The sequence below is a fragment of the Homo sapiens genome, chromosome 6, assembly GCF_000001405.40.
Source record: "Homo sapiens chromosome 6, GRCh38.p14 Primary Assembly".
Taxonomy (NCBI): domain Eukaryota; kingdom Metazoa; phylum Chordata; class Mammalia; order Primates; family Hominidae; genus Homo; species Homo sapiens.
This window is the reverse complement of record NC_000006.12, coordinates 139,876,951-139,891,259: the sequence shown is the minus strand read 5'-3', so window position 1 is coordinate 139,891,259 and position 14,309 is coordinate 139,876,951. Positions and strand designations below refer to the sequence as shown.

General features: G+C 38.5%; 3 annotated features.

Moving 5' to 3' along the window:
- Positions 628 to 4,420: an enhancer, noted in NCBI's record as "VISTA enhancer hs1644". NCBI's record gives its function as "enhancer in: hindbrain (rhombencephalon)[7/9] | midbrain (mesencephalon)[9/9] | forebrain[9/9] | eye[7/9]" and the evidence as "EXISTENCE:transgenic organism evidence [ECO:0001131][PMID:17130149]".
- Positions 2,244 to 2,748: an enhancer, noted in NCBI's record as "OCT4-NANOG-H3K27ac hESC enhancer chr6:140209649-140210153 (GRCh37/hg19 assembly coordinates)". NCBI's record gives its function as "activates a minimal SCP1, AML or CMV promoter by ChIP-STARR-seq in naive H9 embryonic stem cells {active_cell/tissue: H9 hESC(naive)}" and the evidence as "EXISTENCE:reporter gene assay evidence [ECO:0000049][PMID:30033119]".
- Positions 6,521 to 7,061: an enhancer, noted in NCBI's record as "NANOG hESC enhancer chr6:140205336-140205876 (GRCh37/hg19 assembly coordinates)". NCBI's record gives its function as "activates a minimal SCP1, AML or CMV promoter by ChIP-STARR-seq in primed H9 embryonic stem cells {active_cell/tissue: H9 hESC(primed)}" and the evidence as "EXISTENCE:reporter gene assay evidence [ECO:0000049][PMID:30033119]".

Here is a 14,309-nt window from a genome sequence, read left to right as displayed (position 1 = left end):
TAACTGTGTGGCAGTTTGGTGTTACCTTCCCAGATATTTGTTTTACTTTTACACACAGGTTTAGAGGTCTTTTTTGTTTGTTTGTTTGTTTTTTCCTTTTCTTTTACATCTATGAGATTTTTTTTTTTCTTGAGATGGAGTTTCGCTCTTGTTGCCCAGGCTGGAGTGTAATGGCACCATCTCGGCTCACCGCAACCTCCGCTTCCCAGGTTTAAGTGATTCTCCTGTCTCAGCCTCCCAAGTAGCTGGGATTACAGGCATGTGCCACCACACCCAGCTAATTTTGTATTTTTAGTAGAGACAGGGTTTCTCCAAGTTGGTCAGGCCGGTCTCAAACTCCCAACCTCAGGTGATCTGCCCACCTCAGCCTCCCAAAGTGCTGGAATTATATCACCGCACCCAGCCTGAGATCATTCAATGCATATTTTTCATTCTGAATTCAATGTATTATATAGAACATTTCTACGTTAGGACATCATTCTCATTAACTGCTATATAGTATTCCATGTTGTAAATGTAACATCACTTTCATTGGTTAATTTTTCTTTATAAATAATCTTGAAAGAGGAAAAAAGATACTGAAAAGTTATTGATGCTCATATCTGAGTTTTTCATAGAATAAATTTTTGGAAAAGGCATTAACAGATGAAAAAGTATACAATTTTACATTTTGATAGATGTTGTCAAGTTGATTAAAAATAAAGCACTAACAAAATTATACCATTACTCTGTTCTCCATATTTTTGCCAACACTGGATATTATCCATCTTTTATAATTTTTGTCAATATGATGAGGATTTTATTTTCAATCTCCATTTAATACAGTTTATCGGTAAGAATGACTTTTTTTATATGTTTGTTACCTATTGCACTTCATCTCTGAATTATTTATTTATAACCTTTGCCTCCTTTTGTCATTGGATTTTTGTATGTTTTTCTAAAATATTCATTTGTGAGAGTTCTTTATATATTATGGTTAACAATCTGCTCTCTCTTAAATGTGGTGCAAATAATTCTTTCCAAACTGTTTATATGTTAACAATGACATGGTTAACTGCAAACAAGAGAAAAGAACAGGGGTAAAAAAGAAAATTGTATTCCCAGAAAATAATCTGGTTTTTGAAAGTTTTTCTAATTTAGAGAAGAGTCTCCTGAATTAATCAGGTGTTCGTAAGTAAAAAAATAAAACAAGTAAGAAGTAAGAAAGTGTTAGGCATTTAAAAAAATACAAAGATAAAACAAAAGAGAAAGAGAAACTGCAAGCCAATAAGGTATAAAATGTCAATGAGGATTGAGAAAGACACATCAGCCTTATGGTGCTTTTCTTCTAGATGAATCCTGTTAAGAGCATTATGACTAAAGTAAAGCTCTTTTATCCAAAGAAAAAAGGCTTCTAATAAAGACTAACACAAATCTATAAATAACACTAAGATTATTTTTACATATGTAAAGAAAATGTAAAGGGGGGATGCTATTATTAGGTTTAATTATAATATCAACTAAATGGAAAGGCTGTGTTTGATGGTTACAGTAATATCACATAAAGAGTTTCTTATGAAAATTTCTAGTATCTCAGAATTAATGCCAACCCAAGGTCATATTCTATTTCCTAGGTGCCCAAAACAAAGCTCCAAAAGGGGGTGATGGAATAAAAGTGCTAAACGTCTCTGAATTCATAATAAGAAAGGAGGTCAAGATAAAACAAATAATACACAGGCTTTGTCTGAAAAATATTCACAGAAAAGATAAAAAGGAACTATTTTCCACTTTACTTCATAACTTTAAAATACTCTAATATAGTTACAACTGTTGATAGCAGTTCTTTATATAAGTAAATAATATGTGAGAAGCATTAATTTTTTTTTTCAAATATAATTACCTGCGTTTGCAAGGTCAGTGTAAAAAAGGAGGCCAAGTTGTGACAATTCAATGATATCTGCCTTCTCAGATTAAGTGGAAAGAAATACACAACTCACAAGGGGCTGAAATATGCAGGGGTGTGATTATAGGACTGCTGTCTCTTGAGAACCTGCTAGAAATAAGATATATATCTCTTGAGGCCATTCCTGAGATGAGAGAAATTTAGTGAATACAAACAAATAGACACATTGCCCACATTTCTCAGCTGTAAACATTATGTTGAGCATAGCTGGGTTCCATTATTGCCGTTAGGCTGTAGGGCAGTGATCTGACCGTCTTTGTTCTCCCCAGTAAGAACTGATGCATTTCAAGTCAGTAATCAGCATTGTCTGTGCATTTGCTCAGCTAATCTTCTGGCAATGCGTGATGAACAATCTGCCTATTGACTGTCTCAGCAGTTGCTAGCCCCTCCACCCTCACCCCATGTTGATCCTCATCTAGTTTCTGCTGGCTGCTCTTTTTTCCTATAAAAGAAAGGTATAAAAAGCTGTCCCTTCTCTTCCCCTCCCCCAGGATACAATTCTCACTCTCCTAGCTAGTTCTCTAGTCCCCCCCTTGCAGTGATTCCTTCTGGAATTTGAAAAATGCTGCCTGCTTCTTCACAAGTACTTGGATAATTACTAAATTTCAAGCTACCTTGAGCTCCCTCCCAAACAAGAGAAGCATTTCTGCCATCTTTCACATCTGTGTGTTTGTGTGTTGTGTATGTGCACGCACGTGCCAACTAATTTATAACAATTTTTAGGGACATTTTGGTAACATCTGTCATCACTCCATTTAGAAAATACTTGTGATTAACACTTTCTATTGGGAGCTAGAACAGGCAGTCAGAAATATATTGACCTCTGTATTACTGTGATAAATAAGTTGATTTGCCAGTGAATCCCTCCACAACACACCCTGGAGAAGAGAGTATGAAAAATCACTGGGTTTCCTATTTTAAAACTTTTCGTTTATCCTCTTGCAGGAATAAAACAAAAGAACTAATTTGCTGAGACTCAGTATGAATTTACATTTAACAGAAGGTGTAGAAGAAGCTGTAATATGAAATGTACATAATTATAACTTTTAAACCTACTAGTACAACAGAAAATATTATTGCCCAACGTTACAAAATTTGACTTCACCTGTTCATGTTAAGTGGCTCACAATCAGCTTCAACCAAACATGTATTCATTTGCCAAAGTAAGAAAGGAAATCAGATAATTACCTATGTCTCTACTTAGCATCACATTCTGGTCTCAACTATAGATAACTACATATAATGAATACAGATTAGGGAAAAGAAAGTTCTGTACAGGCAGAACACATACCACAAAAGAGTATTTGCACTCCTTGAGTCCTTAGCTCCCCTCCCCCAGTTTTCCTTTTCTTCCGAAAGGAAACAAACACAACTATCACTGTTGTAACTGAAATGTTTCAAAGATCAATATACTTCCCCTGTTAATAGCAGGATCTCAGGAGAAGACTCATTGGTTAACCCAGGAATTCTGGGCATAGTCAATGCTCATACATAAGCTTAAAATCTTTGGAGACTGATTCTAGATCATGTGTGCTTCTGCCCTGTGGGGATTCAGAAAGACTAAATTGTCCCTGAATTTAGAAAATGTAGCAGGACTCCTTCCCTAGACAGATTATGTACTGTGTTACTCCAGATTTTTTGCTTAGTCCAGGAACTTAAAACTCCTCTTGGGGCATGTAATAGAATCACATAGATTTTAAGGAATCAATGAAAGAAGCAACTCAAAGTTAACAGATTGTTAATAGAGTTACTATACCCACTATGTTCCCAAAGCTGTTTGCCCATCTCTTCGTAACAGCACTTACTCACATTGTATCATCATTTTTCTATAGCTGTCTACCTTCTGATGGACTTTGATCCCTTAAAGGGATCAAAGGGCAGCCTGAAGGTAGTTTATATTCCTCTTACTTCAAATCATTTGTGCAACAATGATAATTATAAATAAACATAAATATAAATAAATAAAAGTTGCCTTTGCATCTCGAGGGAATACTACGATGCCTACCAAGTAGTAGACAATCAGCTTCATTTAATTACAATAACTTTGTAAATAAGCATAGATGAAGAAATGAGACATGGATCTTCTGATTAAAACTAGTTTTAACTTAACCCTTCCCTTAATCATAGTTTTCTTTCAAGCCCCTCTCTCTTTTCCTTCTTCTGCCAAACATCTTCCAAGGAATACCTACATTTACCGTCTCTAAGCAGAAGTAACCAAGACAACTGAAAGTCTTAACAATTCATATGGTTCTAGGATGGAAAGCAGGAGATTGAAAATTAGTCACTCAGTTTTTTTTTCAATAATTTCATCATGAACTATTGATATTTTACCTAAAAGGGCAAACAAAATTGGAAAACCTAAAAGCCATCTACAGAAGACTCAAGTTCCCAGAAGTCCTGATTGAGATATTTACTACATTTCTTATTTTATTCTAGTTGTCTAATAAATTCCAGTAAGAGCATCTCTTCCTAATGATGGGTTTCAAAATGTTCTGCACTCTCTGGATAAAATGCTTTGGAGTACTCACTATCAATTCATCTTAGTTCATGGCATGTATGGCATTTTTAAAAGGTTTTGCTTGCTGAATTTTTATAAAACTTCCAAAATAAATTTGATCCTCAGTTATGTCGTGTTACTTGTCTGAAAGAAAACACTTTGCTCCAGGAAATAGAAGTAATCTAGAGCACAGTTGCTCAGGATGCACACTGACTCAACTCACTCCCCAGCATTCCAGGAAGTCCCTCTACCTGGTAGGCGAGCTTTTGAATTTCGAATGAAGGGACCTGGGCAACTCGAACTTATGATCTCATTTAATGAGGTTTTTTACTTGTTTGTTGGGGTTTTTTTTGCTGGACATTTATTTTGAAATTATTGTTACTAAAGTCAACGCCATCCTATAAGGACTGATCAAGTTTTCGGTGTAGAAGAGAATTTAAGGGAAGATTCCATATCAACAGCCTGGCATCAGAAAAGACTGTGAGTGAGTGCTATGGACTGAATTGTGTCCCCTCAAAATTCACATGTTGATGCCCTAACTTCCACTGTCATATTTGTGAGGTAATTCAGGTTATTACCTTTCAATGTCATGATATTTATGAGGTAATTAGGTTTAGGTGAGGTCATAGAAGGGGAGTCTCATGATAAGATTATTGCTTTTATGAGCATCAGAGAGCTTCCTTTCTATCTCTTTCTGCCATGTGAGGACACAGGGAGAAGGTAGCCATCTGCAAGTCAGGAAGAAAGCCATCATTGTGAAAGCAAATCAGCCCTGCACCTTGACCCAGGACTTACCAGCCTCCAGAACTGTGAGAAATAAATTCTTGTCGTTTAAGCCACCCAGTCCATGGTATTTTGTTACAGAACCCCAAATTGACTAAAACAGTGCAGAAACAGGAAAAGTGTTGCAATGATACAAAAGCTTCAGACCTCCTGCCTTTTAGTTTTTGCCACCTATGCTCCACAAGAGCATCAATGTGCCAGCCTTTAAATGATTTTTAGCATTGAGTTCGAAATCTTTGAGAGTAGAGTCAAATTCCCTAATAGAAAATAGAACAAGAGCCCACTTGTGCACATATAAAATTCTGTCAGGACCTAAAGGAAGGATCACCATAATCTGAACTTTCAACACATGTTCTTTCAAATATCAAAACTCCACTTTTAGTGTTTTATAAATGGTTAGGAAGTTCTTAAGTTGCTTCCTGTTATTATCACAAACAATTCCGCTAATGCATGAATGGAGAACTAAAACATAAACATAATTCCCCAAATGGGGGGGGATAGTGGTGAAGAAGGGACACCCACATTAAAAAGACACCAATCCCTATGACCTCCAAAACACACAAAACATTAGACTACAGAGGAAAACACAGATGTGAATATAAAATGTTAAAATTATAATTTGAAAAATGTAAGACATACATTTTTATTTAGGACAGAAAAAAAGTGAAAACTAAACAGAGGACAGATTTACATTGGAAATAATTTTATAAACTTCTACAGCAGCAAAAAAGCAACTTATGAGCTAAGTTAAATTCTTACATACGGATTCAAAGGCATTATATAGTAAAGTAATAGATATAACCCATTGGAGAAATAGATAGCAAAAAATAATTAAAGAATGCCTAAAACTAGAGAATGGAAACATGACAATTCAGAAATTATTTCTGTACTAAAAGTTTTCAATGTATTAAGGGTTCATTTATTTATTATTTTAATTAAGAGAGGTGGTGGTGTAAGTCTAACAGTGAAGAGATGAACTCTAGAATCAGTCTACTGAAGTTCAAATCCCGGATCTGATCTTCCCTAGCTGTGTGATCTTTGACTGGTGACTTAACCCCTCTGTACCATTTCCTCATCTGTGTAATGAAGTCTATTGTAATAGGCCAGTCAGAGGATAATTTAACACCTATAACGCACTGTAGCTGGCCCACTGTGAATGTTTCATAAACCTTGGCTATGCTTAGCCTTGTATACCTATCTCAGTGGCCCCTTCAGTAGTATATAGTTCTCAGCTCAGGCCGGTGCTAGGCTTGATTGACTCAGAAGGGGCAGATACAGTAGGAAACTGAGGAACCATGCTCTCATTTATGCGTATCTCTTGAACAATGTTACACTTTATGGTATGGCCCAGTGTCCTTCAAATCAGATTTATGTCATAGGAATAAGGCCAAAGAACAATCCCATTTTCTTTATTTTTCAAAGAATAAACTCACAGAATTATATTTCACCAGTTTCAAATACAATTCTTTGAATTTTAAGATTTCTTTTCTTTTTTTAAGAGGGTATTTTATTGAATAAAACCAGGCCCATTTGTTCCCTGATTGCATTTCTGAAGCTGCTCTGCCAAGACAACATCATCAATCAATAAGAGAATGTGTCAGCAGGGGGCTTCTCTTCTTTTTCTGAGGGTCTATGATGTTTGTTTTTCAACAGAAACTGAGCTCTAAGTAAATACAAATTTTTATTTCAGGGTAAATGTTTTCGAGTTCTACAGCACCTTTGTTTTCTGAGAATGTCAATTTTATTTTGGCTCCCAAGTTGATAGAAAAAGAAAGAAATCATTTAAAGTATCACATTTATTTCTTGCAACAAAATGGTCCAAGAAAATAGCCAAAATGTTCAATAAAACAAGGCATTTGCTAAATAAATAAAAACTCCACAGGCTAAATAGTAAATACATGTATGAATGCATGCCCACACGAGAAAAGGAGAATAAACAAATTCTGCCAGCCTTAAATAAAAAGTGCTATGGCATTATATATCTCTGTAAAGTTTATAAAACAAAAACAGAAACAGATTCAGTCTCTGTTTCCCCAAAACCTTGGTTCGAGTTTGTGTTCCGCCTTCTGAAAAAAAGGAACTTGAAATTAAACATGAAACATGGTCGTACTCAAATTCTTCAAAACATACTTGTTAGTGAAGTTCCAAAGTGTTGACATCAGCAGGATATTCACAAACATGTGGGAAACAATTCATGCACTTTTAGTTACTGATAGAGTATTTGTTTGCTGTTTTACATGTTAATTTAACAACGTCTTCTGAGAATCAGAGACATTCATGTCTCATATGGGCTATATCCTTTATATCAAAAACTGTCATTCATACATCCCTCCAAGTCTCTATAAAGTTGTCTGCAAGTTGAAGTTTTAATGAACACAGTTTAAAGGGCCACAAAATCAAGTGGAAGGTTGGCAACCATCTGTTGAATTTGTGTTCCATAGATAGACAATCCCCACCATTTAGAAACTGGAGTGGATTGTTTTGCCCTGAATGGTGTGAATTTCCTCTCCAGGCAGTCCAAAAACACAGATAATGACCACGTTGTACTGGAGAGGCCTGGCCTGCTAGCTTTGAGACCAGAAATAAAATCATACATTGTATTCCTTTTTGAGGAGGTCAACTTGCTTTATGCACACTATCAAATCAATTCTCAAAGCATTCCATTGAAATGAGCAAGAGGCAGCTACAATATTCACTTTACAGATGAATAACCTGAGGCTCCAAAAGGTTAAGCAGTTTTCCAAGGTCACGTTAGGCCAATTCCACATAACTGCAATTACCTGGGCAGTGCAGGCAAAAAGCAACAAACACAGAGCATAGAAGGCTTTTGCTTAAATAGAGGTACAGTACCTGCATCACTAACGAAAAACAAGGACTGGGTCAGATTTATCCAAATAAGCTGGCCTATATGCCCAGATGATTGACAATTTTCTATTCTACTTGCAACTGGAAACAGCTAGGCAGAGAGAGAACAGGAATGAGGTCACAGATCTGCTATTTATAGGATACCAGCCACCACACTCAGCTGCTTTTCAGTTAAGGTGAATATTGAATGTAATTTTCTTTCTCCAACTCCATACAGAGGAACTACTTTCAGAAAAGGAAATTATAGAATTTAATAATATTTCTTGTGACATGGTGATTTGCTTTGTGACAGTCTGCACAACTTTTACCACATATTCATCTGGGCTTATTGACCATAAATAAAAATGCAGTCACATTCTTTCTCTTACTCCATGGATTTTTTTTAAAAATAAAGCAATAAAGATTCCATGGGCTTTTTCTTTCCCTCCCACCTACAAGCTATTCATTGAATTTGCAAAGTTATAACAAAACAGAACGCCAGTCTGGACAAGGAAAGCACAACATAGCCATTTATGAGGTAAAGAATCTAAAGCCACCTGATTTGCCTGTTTGGCTGCAAGAGTTAATTCCTATGAAAAATACACTTCCTCCCATTTCCTTTGGCTGAGGCTTGTGAAGGCTGCAGACAGTGAGCGGGGGAGGGCCCGAAGCCTCTGGTCTTTTGATGTAGATATTGATGCATGACACTAGCCCCTGCGCTAAATATCAAGTTTTCTTTCTCTTCAGCATTCCTCCTAAATGGTGAAAAGGGATTCCTTTAGCCCAAATGCACAGAGAGTAGTCCTAGTTGCAGATAAAAATGGCTTGTGTTTTCTGTGACTCACCAATCATAACCAAAACTAAAACAGCAAGCTGACACAGAAAGGTTCGAGTGACGTTCGAGATTATAAATAAAAGGCAAAGAAACAAGAGAGGAACCTGCCTATGGAGTGTCTCCAATCTTTTAATTCAGAAGGGACTGAGGAAGATGAGGGGCTGAGAACTCTTTACCTTTCCTCCAGGGAAAAGACTCTTTACCAACCACCCAGGAGCGCTGGGCTTCCCAGGCAGCCTGGTGCTGCTGCAGCTGAGGCTGATCTGGTCCCAGGGCCCTGTAGCTGGTGCCTATGTTGACCAGATCAGGGATCTTCACTCTGGCGTGTGAGTAGCAATCCCCTAAACTAATCTCATACAGCATGCAGATGCCCAGGTGCTACCCAAACTGGCATTGATTTGGTCAGTTTGAAGTGGGTCTCAGGAATCTGCATTTTAACCAGAATCTCAAATAGACCTAGGACCATACTTGGAGGCTGAAAAATTTATTGATAATGCCACCTGGAGGGCATTTCCAGAACTGCTTACACATCCAGCATGCCAGAGCACCACCTGAAACCTTGCATTTGATGGATTTACAGATTTTTTTACAGATAGTTACATGTAAAGGCCTAAGAACAAATCTAAAAGATATCATTTAAAGACTTCTTTTTACTGGCAAAATGAGACAGAGGTTACATTTGTTTAAGCAGTCAGGGCTGCAGCTGTCAATTTGAAATTGACAATTGGTTTTATAGGGCAAGATTTGGCAAAAAAGATCAGAGACATTTTAACCCTACTATCCACTTTTTTTTTTTTAACACATAAAAGCTACTTGTGGAGAAGCATGGTGTGTGCATGTGTGTGTTTCTTCCACTGACCGGTATCTTCGTGCCTTGCCCCTCCCCCTCCACACCATATGCCAGTCTTTCTTCCCGTGCCCTCACTGTTCCCTTTGTCTCATTTGACAGCCCTCTTTGTCCTCCTTTTGCCATCATTCAGCTTATTGCCGATACAATAAAGCTCACAAAGAGGATTGCTCATTGGTGATGGTGTTGACCACTTTATGAAGAAGAGAAGAATTACTAAAACCACAACTCAATGTTTTTAACATTTGAAATATACAGAGTACATTCATATTGTGCCATTTGACTTTCAGAAAACAAACAAACAAAAAACCAAGGTAAATATAATTATGCCCAATGAAGGCTTGACATTGAGAGAGTGTTAGGGACTTGTTCAAGACCACATTTGAGTAAAGAGTAGAGCCCGAGCTTGGACCCACAAAAGTCACACTGCTCTTTACAGCTGTACCATTTAGAAGAAGGAGGACTCTTAGAACTACTCAGGTTTTTGACATGATTGAGGCGTTTCTGTTTGAAACTCAGGTTTTAAAAAACTGATTACATAAAACTACTGGACTGTAAACAGGATTCAATTTATCCTGAAGTAATTTGTCCAATGGTGTAAAGAAAAGCACTTTTTGCATTTTCCTAGAAAGGGGGCAGGAAATAAAAAAAAAAAACAGCATAGACCCATCATCCTGTAAACATGTCTAAGGCATAAATGCTTTTGTCTCAGTTATTTAGCCACTTCTGGGTAAATGCTTTTGTCCCGGTTATTTAGCCACTTCTGAGATTACTGGTGGTCTTCCAAGTCAATCCAGTGAATCTCTGTAAATTTTAAGGTTGGGCACTAATCTGCAAAAGAAAAATACTCAACCACCCATTCTGTTTTAGTTGGAAAAACTCAGAATTAACTGAAATATACAACAGAATTAAATGATGTTTTAACTCTTTTGTTAAATCAGTCAATGTGGTTAAAGCAACAATTCAGAAGCTACTACGTGTGGGCAAGCACAGCAGACAAGTCACGTAAAGAATTGCTTGAAAAAGCCAATTTAAGGTAGTCAACTCTCAAGTATAGCGCTGTCCTCCAGGTGTTGTAAAACATCCTGAACATCATTTGAAGCAAATATTCAAGCTATTCAAAATAGTTTGTAATTGGTTTGAAGGGGGTGTTTTAAAAAATAGCTTTGTTATTTACAAACTATTTTGAAGTAACTTTGGAGAATCAAAAAGAACTTAATGCAATTTTAATTTGCGTCCTTTATCACCAGATCAGGGAAAACTGAGTTTGCTAGGGCTATGATTCCCAGTAGTCCAAGGAAGGGACAGTGTGACCCTAAAAGCAAGTCGCAGAAACCTTCATTCAAAGATAGAGCTTTACAGTCAGATTTCTATCTTACATTTCTCCAAAGAGAAACTGACATCTCACATACCTCACGTGGCTGTTTGTTTTTGTTTGGTTTGGTTTTCCGGTTCAAAGTATGCTCTACCCTTCTCTGAGACCAATGCTTAGGACTGAGGCAATCATCTCATTTGATTGCTATGGGCAGCGAGGACTCTGAAAACTTGGCAGTACATGGACATTTCCTGCTTTATGGAGGTCAAGAGAAGCAGTGGCTGCAAATCTGAGAGAAAAATTTGACCCAAAAGAGAGATTTAATGACAAAGTGGCAATACAGAAACTAAATGAATTTTACTTGGACTTTATATGCAAAGGATGCTAAGTAAGTATTCAAGTGGACTTAGAAAGAAATTAGGCTGTGTGACTTAGCCTGCCCCAGTGTTCTCCCAAGCCCACCTGCATCTTCTGGAAGGTGATAATACTCAAAGGCATGTTACCTAGATTTTTTTTCTAACATACATTTGCATGATTGCATGTTAGAATTTGTTAGAAATGTTCAGATTTATCTGTTCTTATCTAATTGCACTTAATGGTCTACGAAAATGCCCATTCTTCGATTCTCTGGCGCCCTACCTCAACCTGCCTCCTTCATAGGGTACTCTTTCTTTGAAGACTCAGTAATACTGGTTTACAGGAATTGGGTAAGAAGTCACAGATAATGGCCGGGTGCGGTGGCGCACACCTGTAATCCCAGCGCTTTGGGAGGCTGAGGCGGGCAGATAACAAGGTCAAGAGATCGAGACCATCCTGGCCAACATTGTGAAACCCCGTCTCTACTAAAAAATACAAAAATTAGCTGGGCATGGTGGCACGTGCCTGTAATCCCAGCTACTCAGGAGGCTGAAGCAGGAGAATCGCTTGAACCTGGGAGGCAGAGGTTGCAGTGAGCCAAGATCACACAACTGCACTCCAGCCTGGCAACAGAGTGAGACTCTGTCTCAAAAAAAAAAAAAAAAGAAAAAAAGAAAAGAAAAGAAAAATGAAAAGAAGTCACAGATAGTGAAGTCACTATAGAGGTTCAAAATTTTCAAAATTGTCTTTGCTCTTCATCCTGTCATTTCTTCAACACAGTCACTCTCCCAGGGTTCCTTCACTTTCCAAGTGCCCAAGACTTGATTGATCCAACATCCCTGCTTCAGAGAATATAATCTGCTTTAACAAAATGAATTCCCACTAGGTAATTTATGACTTAATATATTCCTTCAGGCAAGAATTTGCAGAAAGATTAGACCAACTAATGATGGAGTATAGGGCATTTGCCTGTGGGCTGTTGGAAATTTGGAAGAATTTTCTTGGAGCCTCTCAAATACTGCTAAGTAGATGGCCAGCATCATCATTGTCTAATAAGCCTTTGATACAGGCAGGAGTCAGAGAAATTCTAGACAGACAGGCATGGGTCCCCAGTGAAACACCACCTTCAAGCCAAAGTAGCCTGAAACCCACAGCCCAAAGTGAGAACTTCTATTCCTGTTTGCCCACTCTCTCCCAGTTGGTTCTTTCTTAACGCCTTTTTAGCAATCGAATGTTGCCTCTTCCAAAACTACCTGCAGTCTGCCCCAACCCTCCATCCTATGCCTATAAAGATCCCAGGCTCAGTAGGTAGGAGAGAGAGAGATGGCTTGACTTCAGAAGGAAGACGGCCAGACTTTGGGGAAGAAGAGACAGCTTGACTTCAGGGAAGAGACAGCCAGACTTAAGGGAGAACTATCTGCCTTTCTCATCCCATCTCCAGCTCCCCTCTCTACTGAGAGCCATTCCTACCACTCAGTAAAAATCTCTACCTTCACCTTCCTTCAAGTGTCCACGTGACCTCAGTCTTCTTGAACGCCAGAAAAGTGCTTGGGACCCACCCAATGCAGGTACCCAGAAAGGCTGTCACACTGGCCCTTTGCCCTTGCCAGTGGAGGGCAGCCATTCCACAGGATGAGGCAGGGTCCAACTGAGTTGTTAACACACAGCCGTCCATCGGACTGCATAACTAAGGGAGCACTGTAACATCACCTCCAGGGTTTCAGGGTTGTGGGCAACCACACCTGGGCCTTGCATGGAGCTTGCTCCCACCAGCAGCTGGAGCAGCCAGCCAGGTCCCGCACTAGCTCGCTCATACCTGGTCTGACTGTGGGCCCCTCATGGAGCTTGCTCCTCCTGGTGCCCAGTCCTATACTTGCTCACTCATGTCCTACCTTCTGCCGGGGTTGAGCATGGTAAGCATTCACCCCTGACATGAGTCTGGCGAAGGGGCTGAGAAAATTCCTGTATCACTCTGACCAGGAATGTAGGTAGAATTCTGCATGTGTAGCTCTATGATGCAAAATTAAGCTAGTAAAGAATGTCATCCCCTGCCCTTTTGGCTACTGAGGAAAATAACTTACCATTGGAATTGTTTTAGAGAAAAATAAAAATTATGTTTAACTAATGAAATATTCAAATAAATATAGAAGGTAGACATGACGATTAAGGTAATTCAGCTCCTTTGCCTAAATGGTTTCTATAATTTGAACAAAAGAGGATGAAATGCTTCAAAGTCAAAATCAAGTATCTTTAAATTGATCCTATAAATGTTTAACACTTCATTTCATCTTGTGGACACAACAAGGGAACACTTAGTAGACTGTGATTTGAGACAGTTGTTGAAAATTCCCTCCAGGTGGTCATGCTATATAAATGCCATATATACTTTTAGAGAATATTTAATGTACTGTATCTTGGTTTTAATTGTTCTTCTCTGGCAATTCCTTAGGGACCACACTTCACAAAAGGGAGCAAGAAGGCAGATAACGGCAAAGAAAAATGTTTGTAGTTTACTGTGGAGGACCAAGTGAGTTTATACAGGTGTGTATAATTACTTGCATATGACATACACAGAGATATGAGGGTGACCTAGTTTTTGTTTGTTTGTTTGTTTTTTTGAGACGGAGTTTTGCTCTTGTTGCCCAGGCTGGAGTGCAATGGTGCGATCTTGGCTCACTGCAACTCTGCCTCCCGGGTTCAAGCAATTCTCCTGCCTCAGCCTCCCGAGTAGCTGGGATTACAGGCATGCACCACCACGCCCAGCTAATTTTGTATTTTTAGTAGAGACAGGGTTTCTCCATGTTGAGGCTGGTCTCAAACTCCTGACCTCAGGTGATCCACCCGCCTCGGCCTCCCAAAGTGCTGGGATTACAGGCGTGAGCCACCGCG